Source organism: Homo sapiens, chromosome 16 (assembly GCF_000001405.40).
Source record: "Homo sapiens chromosome 16, GRCh38.p14 Primary Assembly".
Taxonomy (NCBI): domain Eukaryota; kingdom Metazoa; phylum Chordata; class Mammalia; order Primates; family Hominidae; genus Homo; species Homo sapiens.
In genome coordinates, this window is record NC_000016.10 from 48260712 (window position 1) to 48282032 (window position 21321).

At 35.9% G+C, this 21321-nt stretch overlaps 1 protein-coding gene across 7 annotated transcripts in view; it reads left to right on the plus strand.

Annotated features, from left to right (window-relative positions):
- LONP2 (lon peptidase 2, peroxisomal) overlaps window positions 1-21321 on the plus strand; it is a 118704-nt gene that overhangs the window by 16412 nt on the left and 80971 nt on the right. For all 7 annotated transcript variants that reach the window (NM_001348078.2, XM_047434738.1, NM_031490.5 and 4 more), the window contains 4 exons: window positions 713-876; window positions 2067-2161; window positions 9305-9563; window positions 16627-16768. In NM_001348078.2, the coding sequence (NP_001335007.1) occupies window positions 713-876; window positions 2067-2161; window positions 9305-9563; window positions 16627-16768 (660 nt within the window). The remainder of the gene's footprint in view (window positions 1-712; window positions 877-2066; window positions 2162-9304; window positions 9564-16626; window positions 16769-21321) is intronic.

Sequence of the window (21321 nt, forward strand, 5' to 3'; positions counted from 1 at the left end):
GATAGAGAGATCATAGAGAATACAAAGGCCATTTGACTTTGCACAGAATATGTTTTTTAGATTTGAAAGAACAATTTTGGCAGGATGGGAACAGATGCCGAAGGCTCACTGAAGTAATTGATGAGGTAGGGGATCTGGTGGTTATAGCCACTTGCTGGAGAAGCAGAACTTCACAAGAAAGGAAGTAAATAGTGCGATAGTTAACTAGAAGAAACTAGAGGTAAGAAAAAAATATTTTGAAAGCAGGAAAGCTTTGAAGACAAAATAGAGCCAGTGGTGGAAAGGTTGAAGATGCTAGGAAGAAATTTTGTAATGTAGGAGATAAAATGGAATTTTTTTCAGTCACCAAATGGTAAGAAGTAATGTATTTCAAGAAAATAGTGGCTGCAATAGTAGCTCAAAGAAAGGTAATTCCTAGATGGTTTAATTATTTCTAGTATCCAGTTCCTTGAAATTTGTTTTCTCATGCAAGTATTATTGTAAGCATATACCAAAGAATCATGTCTACCTTACGTTGGTCTACTTCTGCAATTCTGCTGCCTCTCTGTATACAACTGCCTTTTGATTATCATTCTGAACTTCACTTCCTAAAGATAGAGACTGTAGTCATAAAAATATTTATTCAGCACCAGTCATAATCTTATGTGTACCTGGGTACTTCGTTTCCAATTTATTTTGACATACGGTTTTACTTTTCTGCTTTCTATGTTAGGTTATAGCAATACGCCCTATTAGGAGAATTACACATATCTCAGGTACTTTAGAAGATGAAGATGAAGATGAAGATAATGATGACATTGTCATGCTAGAGAAAAAAATACGAACATCTAGTATGCCAGAGCAGGCCCATAAAGTCTGTGTCAAAGAGATAAAGAGGTAAATTATAAAAGGCATTTGTTCATTATTGTTTTCATTCTTGGTACTCCTGATTAACACCACTTTCACTACTCTTTTCTCCAATACTGAGGATACATAATACAAATCTTCCACCTGCAGTGTGCTGTCAGGCAATATAACTCTTGCAGCTGCCTTTTTGTTGTCTGAAAGAACAGACCATGCTTCTTTGTTTATACGTAATGTTTGTTCAGTTAGCATCATATTCTTCACATGTGACTTTTCTTCTCTAGATTATAAACTCTCAAGGGCAAGGACTGTCCATTTCTCTTTGTACAAGACAAAGTACAGGGAAACCTTGATAACAGAATAGGATATATGGGTTGATTACATTTTCTGGATATCCCCAGTGTTAAACTGAAAGCCATTTTTCCTTTGCATACTTTTAACTTTATAACTCTTATTACATTTTCTTTTATTAGTGAATTGTAGTGAGCCTGCTTGAATGCTTAGTGACTTAATATTTGACTTTCTGAGGCTTACAGTTAAGAACATTAGTAATTGTAGTTGATGGGTATTTTATATTGCCTCTGACATTAGTTAATATATGTAGAACATTTATTATGTGCAGAACACTTTGCTAAGCATTGCATATATTATGGAAGTAGCATTTGTTATTAAATATATGATATTAGCTTGCTTTTATGAGCAGACCTCACTCATCTCTGATACAAAAAAAAATGTATTGTATTATGCATAGTTAGGCACTTACATCTTATTGTGATAAGTAAACCAATGGATATATGTCACTTGACTATCCCTGTGAGCTTAAAAGGGACACACACTAGTAAGGCCATATTTCCAGGTTAGAATTAGATATAATGTTTTCTCCTGCAGTTTGCAGGTATCTGCCTTATTTTGTTTTGTAAGTACCTTAAGTACTTAGAAAATATGAGAATACTTTGTAGAGAAAGCAGAGCAGAAGGGAAGAACCCCTCCCTGGTGGGACTCCAGAAGGGGCAGTTAAGTAGGCTGGGGAGAGAGATAGGAGTGGTGATCATTACATTACAAAACAAAATAAACGTTTTATTATCTGGATACTTTAAAACTTTTTCAGATTTGTTTAAACATGCATGATATATCTAACCAAGAAAGAGAGCTGTGTTTGATTTTTCTGTTATGGAATTTTTCTGTGTTCTTGAACATGTTTGCTGTGTATTCTTTCTCCACAGACTCAAAAAAATGCCTCAGTCAATGCCAGAATATGCTCTGACTAGAAATTATTTGGAACTTATGGTAGAACTTCCTTGGAACAAAAGTACAACTGGTAAGCCAAAAAATAACACCTGTTTTGCAGTCTAATTGTCACTCAGAAAGCTCATGCAATTTTTCATTTCAAATTTACTCCACTGATTGTCGTACTGTTAAATTATTTTTGTTTTCAATTTTTTTGAAACCATTTTATTGAAGTGTGATTGTCGTACAAAAAGCTGTATATAATTAATGAATACATCTCAGTGAGTTTCAGAATAAGTATACACCCATGAAACCATCACAATCTTCATAGCCATAAACATATCCGTCACCTCCAAAGTTTCCTCCTACCTCTTTTGTGATTATTATTATCATCATTATTATTGGCTTTTTTCTTTTGGTGCTGGTGGTAAGAACATTGAACATAAGGTCTAATGTTAAATTAACAATATTGTTAGCGATAGGCACTTTTCTTTATAGTAGATCTCTAGAACTTATTTATCTTGCATAAGTGAAACTTTGTTCCCTTTAACCATCACCTCCCATTTCCTTCTCCTCTCATCCTGTGGCAACTACTAGTCTACTCTCCATTTCTATGAGTTTCACTATTTTAGATTCCACATGCATTAAATAGGTGAAATCATACAGTACTTGTCTTTCTGTGTCTGGCTTATTTCACTTAGCATGATGCCCTCTAACCTAGAGGTCCATCCATGTTGTCACAGATGGCAAGATTTCCTTCTTTTTTAAGGTGCATAATATTCCATTGTGTGTCTATACCACATTTTCTTTATTCACTTATGTGTCAGTAGACATTTCAGTTATTTCCGTATCTTGGCTATTGTAAGTAATACTGCAGTGAATACGGAAGTGCAGATAACTCTTTGAGATCCTGATTTCAGTTCCTTTGGCTGTTTACCCAGAGGTGGCATTGCTGGATCATATGTAAGTTGTATTTGAACTTTTTTAGTAACTTCCATACTGTTTTCATAATGGCTGTTATCGGGGGACCTGCCCCAATAATCATGTAGGTTCTTTTCTATTTTCCTAAGCATTGGCTGGCTTGAGAAATAAAGAGACAGAGTACAAAAGAGAGAAATTTTAAAGCTGGGTGTCTGGGGGAGACATCACACGTTGGTAGGATCCGTGATGCCCCACAAGCCACAAAAACCAGCAAGTTTTTATTAGGGATTTTCAAAAGGGGAGGGAGTGTGCGAATAGGTGTGGGTGACAGACATCAAGTACTTAACAGGGTAATAGAATATCACAAGGCAAATGGAGGCAGGGCGAGATCACAGGACCACAGCTCCGAGGCGAAATTAAAATTGCTAATGAAGTTTCGGGCACCATTGTCACTGATAACATCTTATCAGGAGACGGGGTTTTGAGATAACGGATCTGACCAAAATTTATTAGATGGGAATTTCCTCTTCCTAATAAGCCTGGGAGCGCTATGGGAGACTGGAGTCTATCTCACCTCTGCAATCTCGACCATAAGAGACAGGTACGCCCCGGGGGGGCCAGTTCAGAGACCTACCCCTAGGTGCGCATTCTGTTTCTCAGGGACATTCCATGCTGAGAAAAAAGAATTCAGCGATATTTCTTCCATTTGCTTTTGAAAGAAGAGAAATATGGCTCTGTTCTGCCCGGCTCACCAGCGGTCAGAGTTTAAGGTTATCTCTCTTATTCCCTGAACAATTGCTGTTATCCTGTTCTTTTTCCACGGTGCTCAGATTTCATATTGCACAAACACACATGCTGTACAATTTGTGCAGTTAACGCAATTATCACATAGTCCTGAGGCCACATACATCCTCCTTGGCTGACAGGATTAAGAGATTAAAGTAAAGACAGGCATAGGAAATCACAAGAGTATTGATTGAGGAAGTGATAAGTGTCCATGAAATCTTTACGATTTATGTTTAGAGATTGCAGTAAAGACAGGCATAAGAAATTACAAAAGTATTAATTTGGGGAACTAATAAATGTCCATAAAATCTTCACAATCCACGTTCTTCTGCCATGGCTTCAGCCGGTCCCTCCGTTTGGGGTCCCTGACTTCCCGCAACACGCTGTACCAATTTACATTCCGAACAACAGTGTACAAGGGTGCCCTTTTCTCCATATCCTCACCTTCACTGATGATGGTTTTTTTGTTTGTTTGTTTGTTTTTTTAAATAATGGCCATCCTAACAGGCATAAAGTGCTTTCTCATTGTGGTTTTGATTTGCATTTCCCTGATGATTAGTCATGATAAGCACCTATTTGATTTTTTGCCGTTAAGTTTCATGAGTTCCTTGTGTATTTTGGATATTAACCCCTTATCAGAAATATGGTTTGCACATATTTTCTGCTGTTACATAGGTTGCCTTCTCATTTTGCTGAACTTTTTTTATTCTGTACAGAAGCTTTTCAGTTTGATATAATTTCACTTGTTCATTTTTGCTTTTGTTGCCTTGACTTTGGTGTCAATATCCAAAAATACCATGCCCAGACCAATGTCAAGGAGCTTTTAAAATATATTTTGTTCTAGGAGTTTTACAGTTTCAGGCCTTACATTTAAGTCTTTAATCCATTTTGAATTAATGTTTGTACATGGTGTCATATAAGGGTTCAAGTGCATTCTTCTGCCTGTGGGTATCTGGTTTTCCCACAACATTTTCTTGAAGAGACTGCCCTTTCCCTATTGTATATTCTTGGTGCCCTTGTTGAAAATTGGTTGACCTTCTAGGTAACTTTATAGGTTTATTTCTGGGCCCTCTATTCTATTCCATTGGTCCGTGTGTCTGTTTTTGTGCCAGAATCATACTCTCTGATTACTGTAGCTTCGTAATATAACTTGAAGTCAGAAAGTCTGGTGCCTCCACGTTTGTTCTTGCTCAAGATTGGTTTGGCTATTCAGGGTCTTTTGTAATTTCTTATTAATTTTAGGATTTTTAAATCTATTTTTGTGAAAAATGTCATTGGAATTTTAATAGGGATTACATTGAACTTGTAAATTGCTTTGAGTGGTATAGACATTTTAACAACATTCTTCTAGTCTACGAACATGTAATATCTTTCCATTTATTTGTGTCTGACTTATTTCATCAGTGTTTTATAATTTTTAGTGTACAGACATTTTACCTCCTTGGTTAAGTTTGTACTTAAGTATTTCATTCTTTCTGAAACTATTGTAAATGAGATTGTTTCCTTAATTTCTATTTATTTATTTATTTTTTTGACAGGAGTTTCACTCTTGTCGCCCAGGCTGGAGTGCAGTGGCATGATCTTGGCTCACTGCAACCTCTGCCTCCCAAGTTCAAGCGATTCTCCTGCCTCAGCCTCACGAGTAGCCTTAAATACAGGCACCTGCCATGACACCCGGCTAATTTTTTGTATTTTTAGCAGAGACGGGGTTTCACCATGTTGGACAGGCTAGTCTCGAACTCTTGACCTCAAGTGATCCACCTGCCTCGGCCTCCCAAAGTGCTGGGATTACAAACGTGAGCCACTGCGTCTGGCCCTTAATTTCTCTTTGGAGAAAGGTTTTTTTTTTTTTTGAGCTTTATTGAAGTGTAATTGACGTACAGTAAACTTCACAAATGTAGTATGTACATTTTGATGAGTTTTGACTTACATATACATCTGTAATACCATCACCATAATTAAGATAATGAGCATAACCCTCACCTCCAAAAGTTTCTTCATGCTCTTTGATAATCCCTTCCTTCTTCCCCGCCCCTTTCCTCCTTGCCTCCTAATCCCCAAGCAACCACTAAAGATTAATCTGTATTTTCTAAAATTTCATATAAATGGAATCATAGAGTATGAGCCCTTTTTTCTGGCTTCTTTAATTCAGCATGATTATTTTGAGGTTCATCCATGTTGCTGTATATAACAGTAATTTGTTTCTTTTTATTGCTGGAGTTGTATTCTGTTGTATGGATATACCATCATTTGTTTATCAATTCATCTGTTGATAGACATTTGGGTTGTTTTCAGTTTTTTGGCTATTAAAAATAAAGCTGTCTGGGCACAGTGGCTCATACCTGTAATCCTAGCACTTTGAGAGACCAAAGTGGACAGATCATTTGAGCCCAGGAGTTTGAGACCAGCATGAGTAACACAGGAAGACCCCAACTCTATTTAAAAAAATAAAATAATAAATGAAATAAAAATATTTAATAAAATATCAAAAAATAAAGCTACTGTGAACTGTGGTAGTAAATTTATTTTTAAATTTATGTAATGTTTGCATGTCGTGACAAAATACTGCCTTTTAGTTGAAAGGAAACATTTCTTGGTACTCTGAGATGCCATGTGTGTCAGCACTAGAGATGTGTAGCAGCCATGTATCCATCATGAAAATAATTCCATTGTTTAGCATTGCACATAGCACAAAGAACTGAAGATGAATAAATTATGGTATAAAAGGAGTCATGTTAAGCTCCTAAACCATTACTACACAGGATTATGTCTAGATAATTGTGAGTGTGGTTATAAAACCATGAAAATGCCATTCATATATATATTTTTGAGATGGAGTCTCGCTCTGTCACCCAGTCTGGAGTGCAGTGGTGTGATCTTGACTCACTGCAGCCTCCGCCTCCTGGGTTCAAGCAATTCTCCTGCCTCAGCCTCTCAAGTAGCTGGGATTACAGGCGCTTGCAACCACACCCAACTCATTTTTGTATTTTTAGTAGAGACAGGGTTTCACTACATTGGCCAGGCTGGTCTCGAACTTCTGGCCTCAAGTGATCTGCCTGCTTTGTCCTCCAAAAGTGCTGGGATTACAGACCTGAGCCACTGTGTCCAGCCTAAATATCTTTGTTTGTTTGTTTGTTCGTTTTTTGAGATGGTGTCTTGCCCTGTCGGCCAGGCTGTAGTGCAGTGGTGTGATCTCAGCTCACTGCAACCCCTGCCTCCTGTGTTCAAGTGACTCTCCTGCCCTAGTCTACTGAGTAGCAGGGATTACAGGCGCCTGCCACCATGCCCAGCTAATTTTTGTGTTTTTAGTAGAGATGGGGTTTCACCATGTTGGCCAGGCTGGTCTCGAACTCCTGACCTCAAGTGATCCTCCCACCTCGGCCTCCCAAAGTGTTGGGATTACAGGTGTGAGCCACCGAGCCTGGCCCCCCATTCATAATTTCTGAAAGAGAAGTTTACCTACCAAGTAGAGATCTCAGATAGTAACCGAAAACAAAAAGGAAAGCAGAGAGGAAAGAGTTGTAGGAAATATGTTTGCAGATTTTCCCAGCTTAGAGGAGTCAGTAGATACCATTTCAATCTTCTAATTATAAATAAGGAAATTTATATTGAAATTTGAAAAATTTTTTACATGTAATCACATGTTATTCAAAACAGGAAGCATGCTTTCTGAATCATTAAAGAGAATAATTAGAAAAATATATCCTGTATAGAAAAGATAGAAAATAATTTATACAGCATGGAAATCACCTTTACTTAAAAGATTGAAAGAACTTTTAAAATTGTCTTTACTTGGCATATTTCTTGCAAGAAATTTCTTCACAGTGTTTTCAGTCTTTTCTAAATTATCTTGACTTTTATTCTTACCTTACTGAATGTGTTAATCATGAATGGATAACGCATTATAACAAGTACCTTTTTAGGTACAAGATGATATTTTGATGGAAACTTACTCTTCTTGAACATGATGACATTGATGACCTAACACTGAACCATGTTTGCATAACTAAAATAAATCCCACTGGGACTTAGTATATTATTCTTTATAGATTTGATTTACTAGCATTTTAATATTTACAGCTATATAAAAAGATTTGTCTGAGGTTTTCTTTTATGTTTACTGTGGTAGGTTTTAGTGTCAGGGCTAGCACTGTGAAACAATTGAGAAACTCTCTATCTTTCACTTCTTCATATATTCATTGGTTGGGTTCTGGAGCCAGGAAAGGGGGAAGAAATTTTAGTTGTTCTTCTCCTACTTCACTCACCTAGGACTCTGACTAAAATCAATAGTACTATAATTAAATTATATAGTTTACTGCTTAGCTAGGTTTTTTGGGGGACTAGCTTGGGAACCAAATTACCATCTCAGGCCATTTTTTTCCTTTATGAAATATCCTTAGCAAATTCTAAATAATTAATTAAAAGATATGTATTAATTAATTAAAAGATTTCTGTGTATTTCTCTCTCCCATCTTCTTCTTTCACTGCCAGCATGATCAGGTGGCTGTGTATTATACCCTGGCAGCCACCCAGCTAGTGAATTCATTTTGGCTTCTGTTACCTGGTGTTTAATCTGAGTATTTTAAATGCTAAATCTTATTAGTAAACCTGTTGAAAGCTTGGCTCTAGAAACAAAGCCTAACTCATACACTTCTGGTGAGACTTTGATACAACTTTCTGTGTGGCAATTAGGCAATTCTTTACATCATCTGTTTTTTTTTTTTTTTTTGACCCAGCACTTCTGTTCATAGAAGATAAGCTGAAAGAAATCATTGCAGATATATGGGAAGATTTAGTTCCAGTGATGCACAGTTGAAGCATCTTTTATAAATGTAAAGATGTGTAAACAACTTGAATGCTCAGCAGTAGGGAATTAGTTAAATGAATATAGATAATTTAGTAATGGAACATTAAGTAACCATAGAATGTTACTGATAAATATATGTGTGACAGTGAAAGTTGTCTGTCATATATTAAGTGAAAAAAACATTTTACAAAACTTAAAGGCCCCATAAAATCCCATTTTGAAAAATAGGTTTGTAAATGCACGCACACAGCCTGGAATTACACATACTGAAGTAAAGGTAGTGGTGATCTCTTGGGGGCATGAGATTATGGGTAACTGTTTTCTTCTTTTCTGTTAGTGTTATCAGGTTTTCTGGAATGAACATATGTTACTACTGAAATAAGGAAAAAAATCACCCTTTTTTTTAAAAAACAAATGCCAGCACACATACAATATGTAGAAATTAAGAAGTAATGCATAACTAGAAAATCATTCCAAATAAAATGATATGAACATTGAGTTTTTAATTGTGTAGTGCCTACTATCTCTGGGGACACTAAGTCTTAAGCAGAGAAACCAAACCAAATGCAGATCTCCTAGAATCCTCATCTAGAAAGATCCAAGTCTGTTCTTATCACATCTATTTTCAAAAAAAATATTTTGCCCTCGTCATGCTTGAAAGGAGTTCTTTAACTTAAAAATTTTATGTGTTCTAATTATTTCTGTTGGGTTATTTGACAGACCGCCTGGACATTAGGGCAGCCCGGATTCTTCTGGATAATGACCATTACGCCATGGAAAAATTGAAGAAAAGAGTACTGGAATACTTGGCTGTCAGACAGCTCAAAAATAACCTGAAGGGCCCAATCCTATGCTTTGTTGGCCCTCCTGGAGTTGGTAAAACAAGTGTGGGAAGATCAGTGGCCAAGACTCTAGGTCGAGAGTTCCACAGGATTGCACTTGGAGGAGTATGTGATCAGTCTGACATTCGAGGACACAGGTAGAACACTTCTCTCAGTTTAATCTCTGATTCCTCTTTCTTTTTAATTGACTAGAGCTCCCTAAAAGCTTAGGCATAGCATACATCTATTTTCCTTAAAGGGCTATGTGTGGTACCTTGAATGAAAAGGACATTTACAAGAAGTATCAGCTAGCCTAGAGCCTCTAAGCGTAATGATAAACCCAAACTAACCTTGATTTGTATGACAGTGGATACTACTCTGTGCCTCAACTTTCCTGGAATCTCATTTGAATGTAATTATAAGTTATTTATGATTGGATATTATTATGTCTTTACACTCTTTTCAACCCAGTAGCATGCCATAAATAATGATCCCTAACTCTCAGAGTTAAAAAAAGTAACTGCAATAGGGAGGGCCAATAGGAGGAGGTGAGAAGTCTTTGATAACAAACTTGTTCTGATTGCAGTCTAAACTTCCTCTTATGAAGGTTGGTTTGTATTATGAATATGAGTAATAAGGATAAATGTTAGCATAATTATTAAGGCTTATTCTTGCATTTTGGACTCACTTTCTATAAAAAAACAATAAACTGTAAGAACTGTCCCTCTAGGCTGGGCACAGTGGCTCATGCCTGTAATCCTAACACTTTGGGAGGCTGAGGTGGGTGGATTGTTTGAGCCTAACAGTTTGAGACCAGCCGGGGCAACATAGGGAAACACTTTTGTCTCTACAAAATTTATATTTAAATTTTTTAATTTTAAATTTTAATTTTTGTCTCCACAAAAATTAAAAAATTATGCAGGCACAGTGGCATGCACCTGTGGTCCCAGCTACTCAGGAGGCTGAGATGGGAGAATCATTTAGGCCTGGGAAGGTCCAGGCTGCAGTAAGCCATGATTGTCCCACTGCACGCCAGCCTGGAGACAGAGACATTATCTCAAACAAACAAACAAACAAACAACAACAAAACTGTTTCTGATTAATCTGACATTATTAGAATCAGATTTGCATGTTGCATTCATTGTTCTCACTGGTCTCTTTGTTGATCTGATGGAAATTGCCTTGGGAAAGCATGAATTTACATTTCGTGGTTTAAGGGATTCATAGCAATTGTAAGTTGTGAGAAAACATACCTATAGTGTATGTGTTAAAGAACATGTTTAAATGTAGGAACCATGAACTGCTTATAAAAGAATATGATGCTTTTTTAATATCTTGTTTTCTATGTGCCTTATTCAAAGGGATCCCTATCCATAGACAGGGATGGGAAACTGTTTCAGAAACTTTTCTATAAGAAATGGTTATTTTTATTCTCTTTTATTTGCTCACTTAAAATTCTTACGCATTTAAAAAGTATCATTACTGGCCTTGTGTAGTAGCTCATGCCTGTAATCCCAGCACTTTGGGAGGCCAAGGCAGGCAGTTGCTTGAGCTCAGGAGTTCAAGAACAGCCTGGGCAACTTGGTGACACCCCATCTCTAAAAAAATAATAATAATAAATTTTAAAAAAGACTCATCACAAGATTTTAGTAAATAAACAATGAGGCGTGCAGATCAGAGTAGAGAATTGATTTGGGTGATTTCTTCTGGCAATTTCAAAAGATATTTTTGTTGCCTAGACTTCTTATTCTTGCATGTACCACTAGAGGCTATAGTTTGCTTTCGTAAAGGAATTGGCATTTCTCTTGGACCAAACTCAAAGAAGCTGCGTCTAGGGCCTAAATCTTCTAATTTTAGCTACAGAGTAAGTATTTGATGGCATTTAGAGAGTGAGTTCGTGGAATTAATGCTATGTGAAATTGACATCATAAGCACGTGACATGTAGGTAATTTGTTCTTATTTCTTTTCACATTGGTATTGATTATTTGATAAGGCTTGGAAAGCACTTATTCAATACCTGACACACAGTGAGCATTCACTAAAAATTAGCTTTAACCATTATTTAAATTCTATTAATAAATTCTCAGGAGGACAAATTTAGATTTACAAGCTTCAGTATGAGTTTTTATAAATTTCAATCTGATTTTTTAATTGCCTTCTAAAATATTTATCCTATTCTCAGCATTATTACTTAATTTATACGGCAGAATTATGGGAAAATGCATTTTTCTGTTGCCTACTAATGGACAGTGTATAGTGTCATGGTTCTCACCACTTACAAACATCACTGGATTAAAATAAATCTCTATTTTAAATCCTTACTGACATATAAAATTTGTTCTTTTTTTCAAGTGAATATGCTTTTGTGTATGTGACTGTATTAAGAAAATTGAGTCTGAAGAAAATAAGAATTGACTTTATGGGTCTTTTGTAAAAGGAGGTTGTGTTACAATCACCATTGCCTAAAATATTTGTAAATATAACCTTTTTAGAAACGTATATATGGAGGCTGTGATTGTTGCCGAGTAAAAAGTATAAGGATTTGTTTTGTGAATCATTCTATTCAGCCTGATTTTAGATACACCTTGCTGGTAAGTGTTACTTAGCCATCAGTGTACCAGATGTTTGATTAACTACTATAGCAACCTGCCCTTGTGCTGTTGGGGACATATTACCCATCTACCCCGTGAATTATTAAAGCCTGGTGAAAAATTTTATTTCAAACCCTGTTTGGAAGCACGTGGAGAGTAGTGGGGTTCAGTTGTTGAGGAAAGGGTGAGGGCAGAGCATGCACTTAGGTCAGTTATGAATTGAAGGTGAATAGGAGGAGGAGAGAAAGAACAACCGACAATTCCAGCACAACCATGGGTGTGCCTGGGGGAACATGTGGTTCCATGTGACAGTTGAGGCATTTGGGAGACAACCCAGGTCTTGACGTTTGAGTACCGGTCACATGCTCACAGTTAGAGTTCATGAAAAGTTTTGTTTTTCCTCAGCCTTTGAGTAGGCACCACTGTTCCGCAGCCTTAGAATAGCCAAGGAAAAAGAAAGCCAGGGAAAAAGAAAGCTGCTTTGTTATTGTCCTTGCTTATCCTCTCGATTTTGCCACTCACTCTCCCTGTTTTCCCATGTGTGGAACACTTTCCTTTTGCTAAAAGTACCTGCGTATGAGAAGAAGGATGCCGATAAGTTGGGGATTGATTTTAAAAACAAGCAAAGATATGTTTTTTATGGTTAAATGATAATGAGGTGGGAGATGGGGAAGCAAAAGAGAGGCTTGCCTTAATATTTAATCTTAAACTTGGAAAATAATAGTGATCTGACTAAACATTGCCTCATTTTTGTCTGTATTGTTTTGAGTAGCTTAAAGGAAGAATAATGTTTATGCTACGTATTAACTCATTCAGTTTTTCAGTCTTTTCGATATTTCTCATTTGGATTTATCTCCATTGTGATTTTTCTGTCCACTTTGTAAGCCACAAAATACTCATTCCCTTCTATCAGTTTTAACAACTTAAATTTTTATATTTAAGTATTACATTTAAATAATTTAAGTCAATTCACACAAATATAAGGTAACTAACTTCTTTTAAGATGAAGTTTTATGAAATAATGTTTGCATAATTGTTTTTCATTTGTTCTTTGGTAAAAAGAAATAATATATTATTGTTATGATATATCTTAAATCACTGTGGATATTAACTCCTAGAAATACTTTACCAGCTGTTTACTTAGATAATAAAATTATATTATTGCAAGAAATCCTTGTCTCAACTTTCAAACAAGATGAGAAGAAAAATGAACTTGTGATTTCCACATTGATACATTTTCATATGCAACCTGAAATGGTAAAGTTATAAATAAACTATTTCATTATTAGTTTCTACAAGGGAAAAATAACTGAAGCAGCAAGCTTCTAATGTATTTTTTTAGCATAGTGTACCAGATATATTATGGTTTGCCCACTATCCTTTCAACTTACATTTGCATGTAGCTCTTCTTTGCCTCTCCAAAACTTAGGTTTATTTTAAGGCCTCAACCCAAGGCTTCCTCCATTAATGTAAGTGCAGTCAGTTATGATTTCACTCTTCTCTAAACTGACCACCTATTGTGCTCCTTTATCGAATACGGGCCTCTGGCATTTCTACCATACAACTGTGGAGATGAAACATAAATACGTTTATAAAAAGTACAAGCTTTCTCAGGCAGGGGATTTATCGTCTATCTCCTTTATGTACCCCATGATGCTTATTTAACATGGTGCTAAATGTGGTGAGCGCTCTCTGGGTGTTTTGTGAATTCATGTAAGATTAAAACATAATATTTTGGAAGTTATGCAACCCTTTAGACGAGTACACCCATACAAATTAGTCTATAAAAAGATTTAGGAATGACTACCAGAAGAATAATTGCATTTGTTTAGACATGCTATTATACATTAAAATCCCAGTTTCTTAAAGACTGTTTTTCTTTTTGAGATCATTAGGATCTTTTTTAAACTGATTCCTTTTTCCAGTTTGAGATACACACACACACCCACACACCCACCCACACCCACACCCACACATCCACACACCCTTGGTAGAAAATGTGAAAAATAAGGGGAAAAAATCCTCATGTTTTTCTACCGTACAAAGATAATCACTGTTAACATTTGTTTTGTTCTGCCAGACTTATCATTGGATTTTAAGTAACAGAATTGTAATCCTGTCATTTTCACTTAACATTGTAACACTTAAACTCTTTTCTATTCCAAATTCTTTGTAAATTTTATTTTAACAGTTTGCATTATAGCCTGCGGGAGCCGAGCCCTTTAATTGAATAGGTAGGAAGAGTGGATGGTGAAATGCCTATATTTTTCTCTCTTGTCTGCTATAAAAGACATTTGCAAAAGTTGCTTCCATGAGGCAGAAATTGAAATGGGACTCAAATTCAGGTGTACTGAATTCTGCTCTTGTGCTTTTTCCAGGAAACCAGAAGTAAACTTTAAGTAGCTGTTGCTAATAATGATGAGCATCACTGGAAAGCTCACTGTGTGCCAGGGACCGTGCTGTGTGCTTTGCCTGTGTTCTCTCATGATCCTTATATTAATATAACCCACCAGGTTGACACTATTTTCCCCATCTTATAGGTGAGGAAACTGAGGCTTAGGTCAAGTAATTTGCCCAAAATAGTATTCAGAGGCTTGTACTGTGTTACCTTTAGAGTGCTGATGGAAAGATGCTTTGAGTGCTGGCACGGTGGATCTGGTGGGGAACAATCTTACAGCTCTATATCTAGCCTCTACTCTGTGGTAAGACCCCGTCTCTGTCATAAAAGTGCTCACTGGCTCTATAGAGGAGGTTATTATACCCATGAATAAAAACTAGGTTGTAAGTAACCATCAGATGAGTTATGGGGCCAGTAAGTGCTGTAGACATTGCATTATTAGAGCGATCCCTTTGTGAGAGGTAGTCAGAAAAAGTTTCTTAGAATTGTTGGGATTTACGTAGCAGGAAGAGGAGTATTAAGGGCAGGAAGGCACCATATTTTTAAGAAAGGTAAAAATTTTTAAGGGGCGTAATAGTATCTTGATTGTGGTTGAAGCAAGAAAGTAATGGCAGCAAGTTGGGAAGATGAATGGGAGCTGGATTGTGAAAAGCCTCGAACTCCAGACAAAGGAATTTGAACCTTATTCTGTAGGCTCTGGGAAGCAATGGAAAGTGTAAGAGGAATTGCTTATATACAGTGTGAGTAGAATCTAGGATTCCAATTTTTTTAGAAAGGGTGCCTACCTAGAATATTATTTTCTCTCTGTGACTTCAGGTGTAGAATTGTCAGTACTTGTTTTTGAAGTTTACTCATCAAAAAAGGAAAGGCAAATAAATAACTGCAGCAAAAAATGACCCATTAGAGCCTTTGAGATTCTTTAAAAAAATTCCCTTCCCTACCACTCTTAAAAATCAGAGTAATGGCAAATCTGTAAGTTCTCTAGAAAAATAATTGGAAAGAATTTATAAATTCTGAGTCTCGTCTTTCCTGTATCTGATTCTGAAATCTTGAATGTGCTAATTCCTTATATTAACAGGACAATGTTTATTGCCTTTGCTTCCCTGTGCCTTAGTCACCTTTCCCGGATGAAAGGCATTCCCATGATATTTTTAAGGCTTGCTTGCCTTTTCAAAGTTCACTCTGTTTATTCTGTCCTACTTTATACCAGTCATGTGGCAGAAATCAGGCCTGCTCTGTGAATCGGCTTTGTGCAGATCATGAGGTAACTGTGGCTGTTCCACTTGTCATTGATCATTTTCTTCTCGGCAGTCAGGCTTTTATGCCTTTTCAGAGACAGCATTTGCTTTGCACAACATAGACAGCAGGGTTATAATTAAAATTAGTAAATTGCTGCTTTAAGTTTTGCTGGCTTTGTAAAAAAGACACCTTTTTTGGTTTGATAAACTTATGTGTTTTTATTTCATGCCACACTCTACATCTGTCATAATTATGTGGGTGATTCTTGTCCAAATACAATAAAGCAGGCTCTCACATTTTAACGTTCAACAAAATACCTGGCTGGCTGAACGTGGTTATTGCCAATTAGTGCATATGGGATGAATACAGTTTTGTTCAAAAGGACAGAATAATGGAATTCTGATATAAATACTGTTGACCCCAGATCCTTATACTATAATTAATAGATTATTTCCTCTGAAAATAAAAGAGATTGGAGTTTTTCTTTTTTGTTGTTGTTTTTGGTCTGCATTCTGAGTGGCTGTTTGAACTGATTTTAATTTCCTTCATGAAGATGATGATGTTTTAGCTGGCCCAGGGGCAGCCATTTCAGTGTGCATAAAGGTGGTTGCGTTGGGTAGGGGGATGCTCAGAAAAATCATGGAAAGCATGGGAATTCATAGGGTACTTTGGACATTTTGGAATCTTGAAGAGTAAGAACCGTAACTGGTGACTTAAGTGTCGTGTTTCTTCATTTCACCAAATGGCAAAATGTGATACAGTTCTTCCAATATCATGGGCAACTTGTAGCCAGAATTAAGTAGAAGATAAGATTAGAATTGAATATAATAACTTTTGATTTATCATAGTGCCTTTTAAATACATAGTACCTCTTTGCTATATTATAGTGATAGCTAAATGATCTTTTCACATTCCTAAGTTTTGATTTCTGAATGGCGTCGCTCCTGCCTCCTGACATCTCACACTGTGAATGTGCTACTTGCTTTCTCTAGGCGCACCTATGTTGGCAGCATGCCTGGTCGCATCATCAACGGCTTGAAGACTGTGGGAGTGAACAACCCAGTGTTCCTATTAGATGAGGTTGACAAACTGGGAAAAAGTCTACAGGGTGATCCAGCAGCAGCTCTGCTTGAGGTAAGATTTGGAAAATTCCCTGTCTGTCTTCATACTGGAAGAGTATGGAGGAGGGTTGATAATCATATTCAAGTGATATACACAGTGGTGTAGCTTTAGTTATGGGAAAAACAGTTTGATACCGGCTGAGGTCTGAGCAATTTGGCACTTAAATTAAAATGTTTTTGAGATTTCTTTCACTAAGTCCCCTTTTTTTTTATTTTCCTTTTGTATTTTAATCAGATAGTTTAACAAAGTTTTGTGCACACTTATTATCTAGAGGCCAACAATTCTACACAGTTATGGCAAAAAAAACAGCAAGCAAGTCTCCTTCTCCCTGGGGTCCCCCATGCCTTCTTCTGCACTTTGACCTCTTCAGCTTTTAGTTGATTAACCCTATTTTCAAAATAGCATGGCTATCTTGCACTTCCTGATTTTTTTTTTTTTTAGTTTTTGTCATTTTCTATAGATGCCCCCCAACAGGAGGTGAAGATTTTACCTTTTTTCTTCCGTTGTCCCCACTGTATCATTTTTATACCTTAGATCTCGCAATAAGAATTTTTTTCTTGTTTTTTTGTTGTTTTTTTCTTGTGAATACTAATACATCCATATTAGTATTTACATTATTATGATTATGTAAATGCTTTTCACAGCAGGAGCCACATGGTAAACTGTGATCACTTTTCCTGTTCCTATTTTTGTTTTTCTCTACTTTTTAAGAATATTTTCAGAGTTAGCTGTCTTGTTTCTTTTGTTTACTTTTTCACCAATCGTCTAATTCTGTCAAGACCTTCAGACACTTTAGGTGTTCTATCCATTTTATCTTCTTAAGCGTCCGGTCTGAACTGGTTGTTTTTGACATCCGGTTTTATGGCTTCCTTCCTAGGTTCTCCCTTCACCTCTCACCATGTTGGATTTCCTGTCTCCTGTATTCCATTTCTTGCTCTTTCTTGGTCCATTCCCTCATTTTTGTGGTGTTAACTCCCTGATAGTTTCCTGAGAAAGCTTGCATGAGTGGTAAATGTTTTAGACTTTGCATATCTGAAAATGTCTTTATGTTTCCCTCATACTTGATTAGTAATTTGAGTAAAGAATTCTGGTTGGAAATAATTTTTCTATAGAATTGTACTTTGCCTCCATTTTACTTCACTTTCCCATTTCCAGTGTTGCTGTTGGTAAAACTGATTCCATTCAGTTCCTATCCTTGCAGACCTGCTTTACCCTGAAAACTTTCAGGTTCTTCCCTTTATCCTGGGATTCTGAAATTTCCTAATAATCTGCCTTGGCATGGGTTTCTTTTCATGCATTTTTGCTCATTCTTTCTTTGAATTCTTCCTGTTCTTTGGTTCTAAAATTTTTCTTAAATTCTTTTATTGATGACTTTTCCCCTTTATTTTTTGGAACTCCCATGACTTGGATATTATGTTTCAGACTTATCTTTTCTCTCCTATTAGTCTCCACTTTTATGTTTTGCTCTACTTTCTGTGCAGACTTTCTCAGATTTATCTTTTAAAAACCCTCTGAATTTATTATTTCAAAAACTTTCTCTGCATGTTCTTTTATAGTATCCTGTTCTTGTTACATAGTTGTAATATATCTTATCTCCATGAGAAAGATACTTATAGATATATTTTAAAATTTTACTTCTCTGACCACTTGGTATATTAAAAAGAAAAAGAAAAAAATTACTTCTCTTTAAGCTGCTTTTATCTGTTTATTATATATTTCTTTTAGTCTCTTTTATATTAGAGTCTTTCATTAGATATCTGGACATTTTTGTTTGTGTGTTTATATTTAATAGTAAGGGACAAAAAGGCTGATTGGAGGCTATGAGCATAGGAGTGGGGCTTATCAACAGTGAGTTCCACAATAGAGTCAGCTGGCTGTGCTGTTTGGTTGAGGAATCTTCTACTCAATAGCTTTAAGTCTTCCTTCTTAGGATGGTCAGATTCCTCAGAGAAGACTTCCTGTCTCTTGCCTTGAGAATGAAGGCCTGGCTGCCATCATTCTGGGAACCAAGCAGGGGAAGAATGATTGGGGTCGGGGGTATCACTGCATTCAGCATCCGTGTATATGCATTCACCTGAGCTCTTGTTTTCAGCATAGTATATGTTCTTATCAGCTGTGCCCAGGGTCCCCTGTGCAGAGAACCACTGTTTTATGTTCTTAAGAAAATAAACTTCCAGTGTTTTGCTGGGGTGGGGGAGGGGATCTGGGATCTGACTGCTTCCTAAATTTATTTCAGCCAGTCCTCCTTATTTTAGCACATCAGCCCCTCCTCCCTTTTACCCTTGCTTAAAATATTATTAATGCAAATTGATTTGTAAAATTGAGGAAAACTTACTTTGTGAAAGTTTTTATTTTTTTCTTGTTTATTTCTGTGCTTTGAGCTGCCTCGTGCTTCCTGTTTTTTTTCTGTTTTTGTGATCTTAGAACAGGATGGCCTGGGACATGTGTCTTATTAAGCAGGAGACCATACATTCTGGTTTGCTTGGCACATTCCCAGTTTATGCCTAATATTAATTGCACTCTTTTTTAGTCTCAGAAGTGGGTTTTGTTTGGACGATAAAAAAGTACAGTTACCTTACTTAAAAGCCCTGGTATTTGGAGGTAAGGGTTTGATTTGGTTCAGTTTTGCTACTTTTTATTGTAAGATCATTACCTTCTGGCTCCATAACTGGTTCTTTTTACTATGAAGAGTAAAATAGTGAACATTATTTAAGATTTTAGTAGTTTCTTATATAATATCTTTAGACTTTCAGTTTAATTTATATTGGGACATTTTTTCAGGTTATCTGACAGATTCTCCCATTAGACACTTACAGTTATCCTGTTGAAAATAATTTTAGAGTATTCCCCTGACACTTAAATTTTTTCAACAACTGTTTTGAAGCAAGTTCACCAAAGACAGCTTTACAAGTAGTAGTAGATGATTAAGTCCCCTGTTTATTTGTTCAGTTGATAAACAATATGTTTTAGGTCTTCACCTATATATACTTTGTAATGATTCAATAATATTTGTTAAATTGATCTTTGATAACAAGCAGCTAGCATAATGATATTTTCTTGTCTGATGTAGACCTTGGTACTCACTTTTTTGGCAGTCGATTTATTAGCATTCAAAAAAAAGGTATGAAAACCTCAAATGATATCTCAGAGTAAATGCCCCCTGGGCCCACGTACTAATCACTGTAGTTTAGTTATGAATAGCATTGGTTCCTTACAGACTGTAAATGCTATAAAATGAAGCAAGACATACATATGGAGGAACTGAGTATCTTGGTAGCTGACAGCCTCTTCCTCCCTGCTTGCCCAAGTCCTGGGTAAAAACCTCAGACCTCACAGATTGTTGAAACAATTAAATAACAGTACATATTAAAGCACTCTATAAATGGTAAAGTACTGTACAGATGTTAATTTAATATCCACTGATATTTCTTCTGTGTCCATTTTGAAAGCCACTTGCTGCTTCCATTGCCAGTAGGTTCACTTAAATTTAAAAAAAGAACAAACTCAATTACACAACACGTTACATTTAAAGTGAATATTCCTGAGAGTTTGGAGACCCAAGTATAGTTTTATTATCTTTCTACATAGAAAACCTGCTTTTAAAAAATGATATCTAGATATTATTTGTAAAATGTATAAGATTATTTTATGTTTAAGCTAATTATATTATTAAGGTAATATAGCCCAGATGTGAAGAATGTAATAGTAGATGTAAATATACACTAGAGTGCTTACTCTGAATAAAGAATAAACTTTTTCTGCTGTGTATTCTTCTTTTTATTTATGTAGGATATGCCCGTTTCCTTGACCTACCATGTAATTGTTGCTTATGTAAAACAGAATGTATTTCAAGTTATTACTTAATATTGTCCAAAAAAGGAGAATTCAAAATTTAGATGATCTCTTTTGAAAATTTATTGGAAGACTATAAAAATAGGTCCAACTACTTAATTAATAAATGGTGGTAGGCAGTAGAATTTGGGCAAGTCTATAACTGAGTAGCACTAAAATATTAGATATAAGGAAAGTAAGGGCTTGTATGTAATTAATAGACTTGAAAGAAAATTACAGAATTATTTTCTTACCAGATATATGTTATATTTATAACTGGCACATGTCCAGACTTTATTGTTAAATATGAATGCATATCTCAAATACATTTTTGTGTGAGTGGGCAAATAAAATGCATGGATACAATAATTAATTGTCTTTATAGGCAATAATATTTACAGTTCGAAAAACATATATTCCCCAAAATAGAGAAGTCACTAGTCTAGATATAGTAAACTTCCTTTAAAACTGAAGTTCTTACTTAATTCGAATTAGATCCAGTTAGTAATTAGACCAATAGTATATTTACTACTTAGATACAGTAGACATGATCTTTTGATTTGAGCTATACAATTATTGTCAAAGAATGTCAGAAGAGAGGGACTTAGACATCATCTAATCCAGCTTCATGCTCTTAAGGATAAAAAGCTTAAGGCCTAAGATATTATTTTAATTTCTTATTTCACTACATGCTATATTAATGATATAATTTCCAAATATCGAATGGAGTTAAA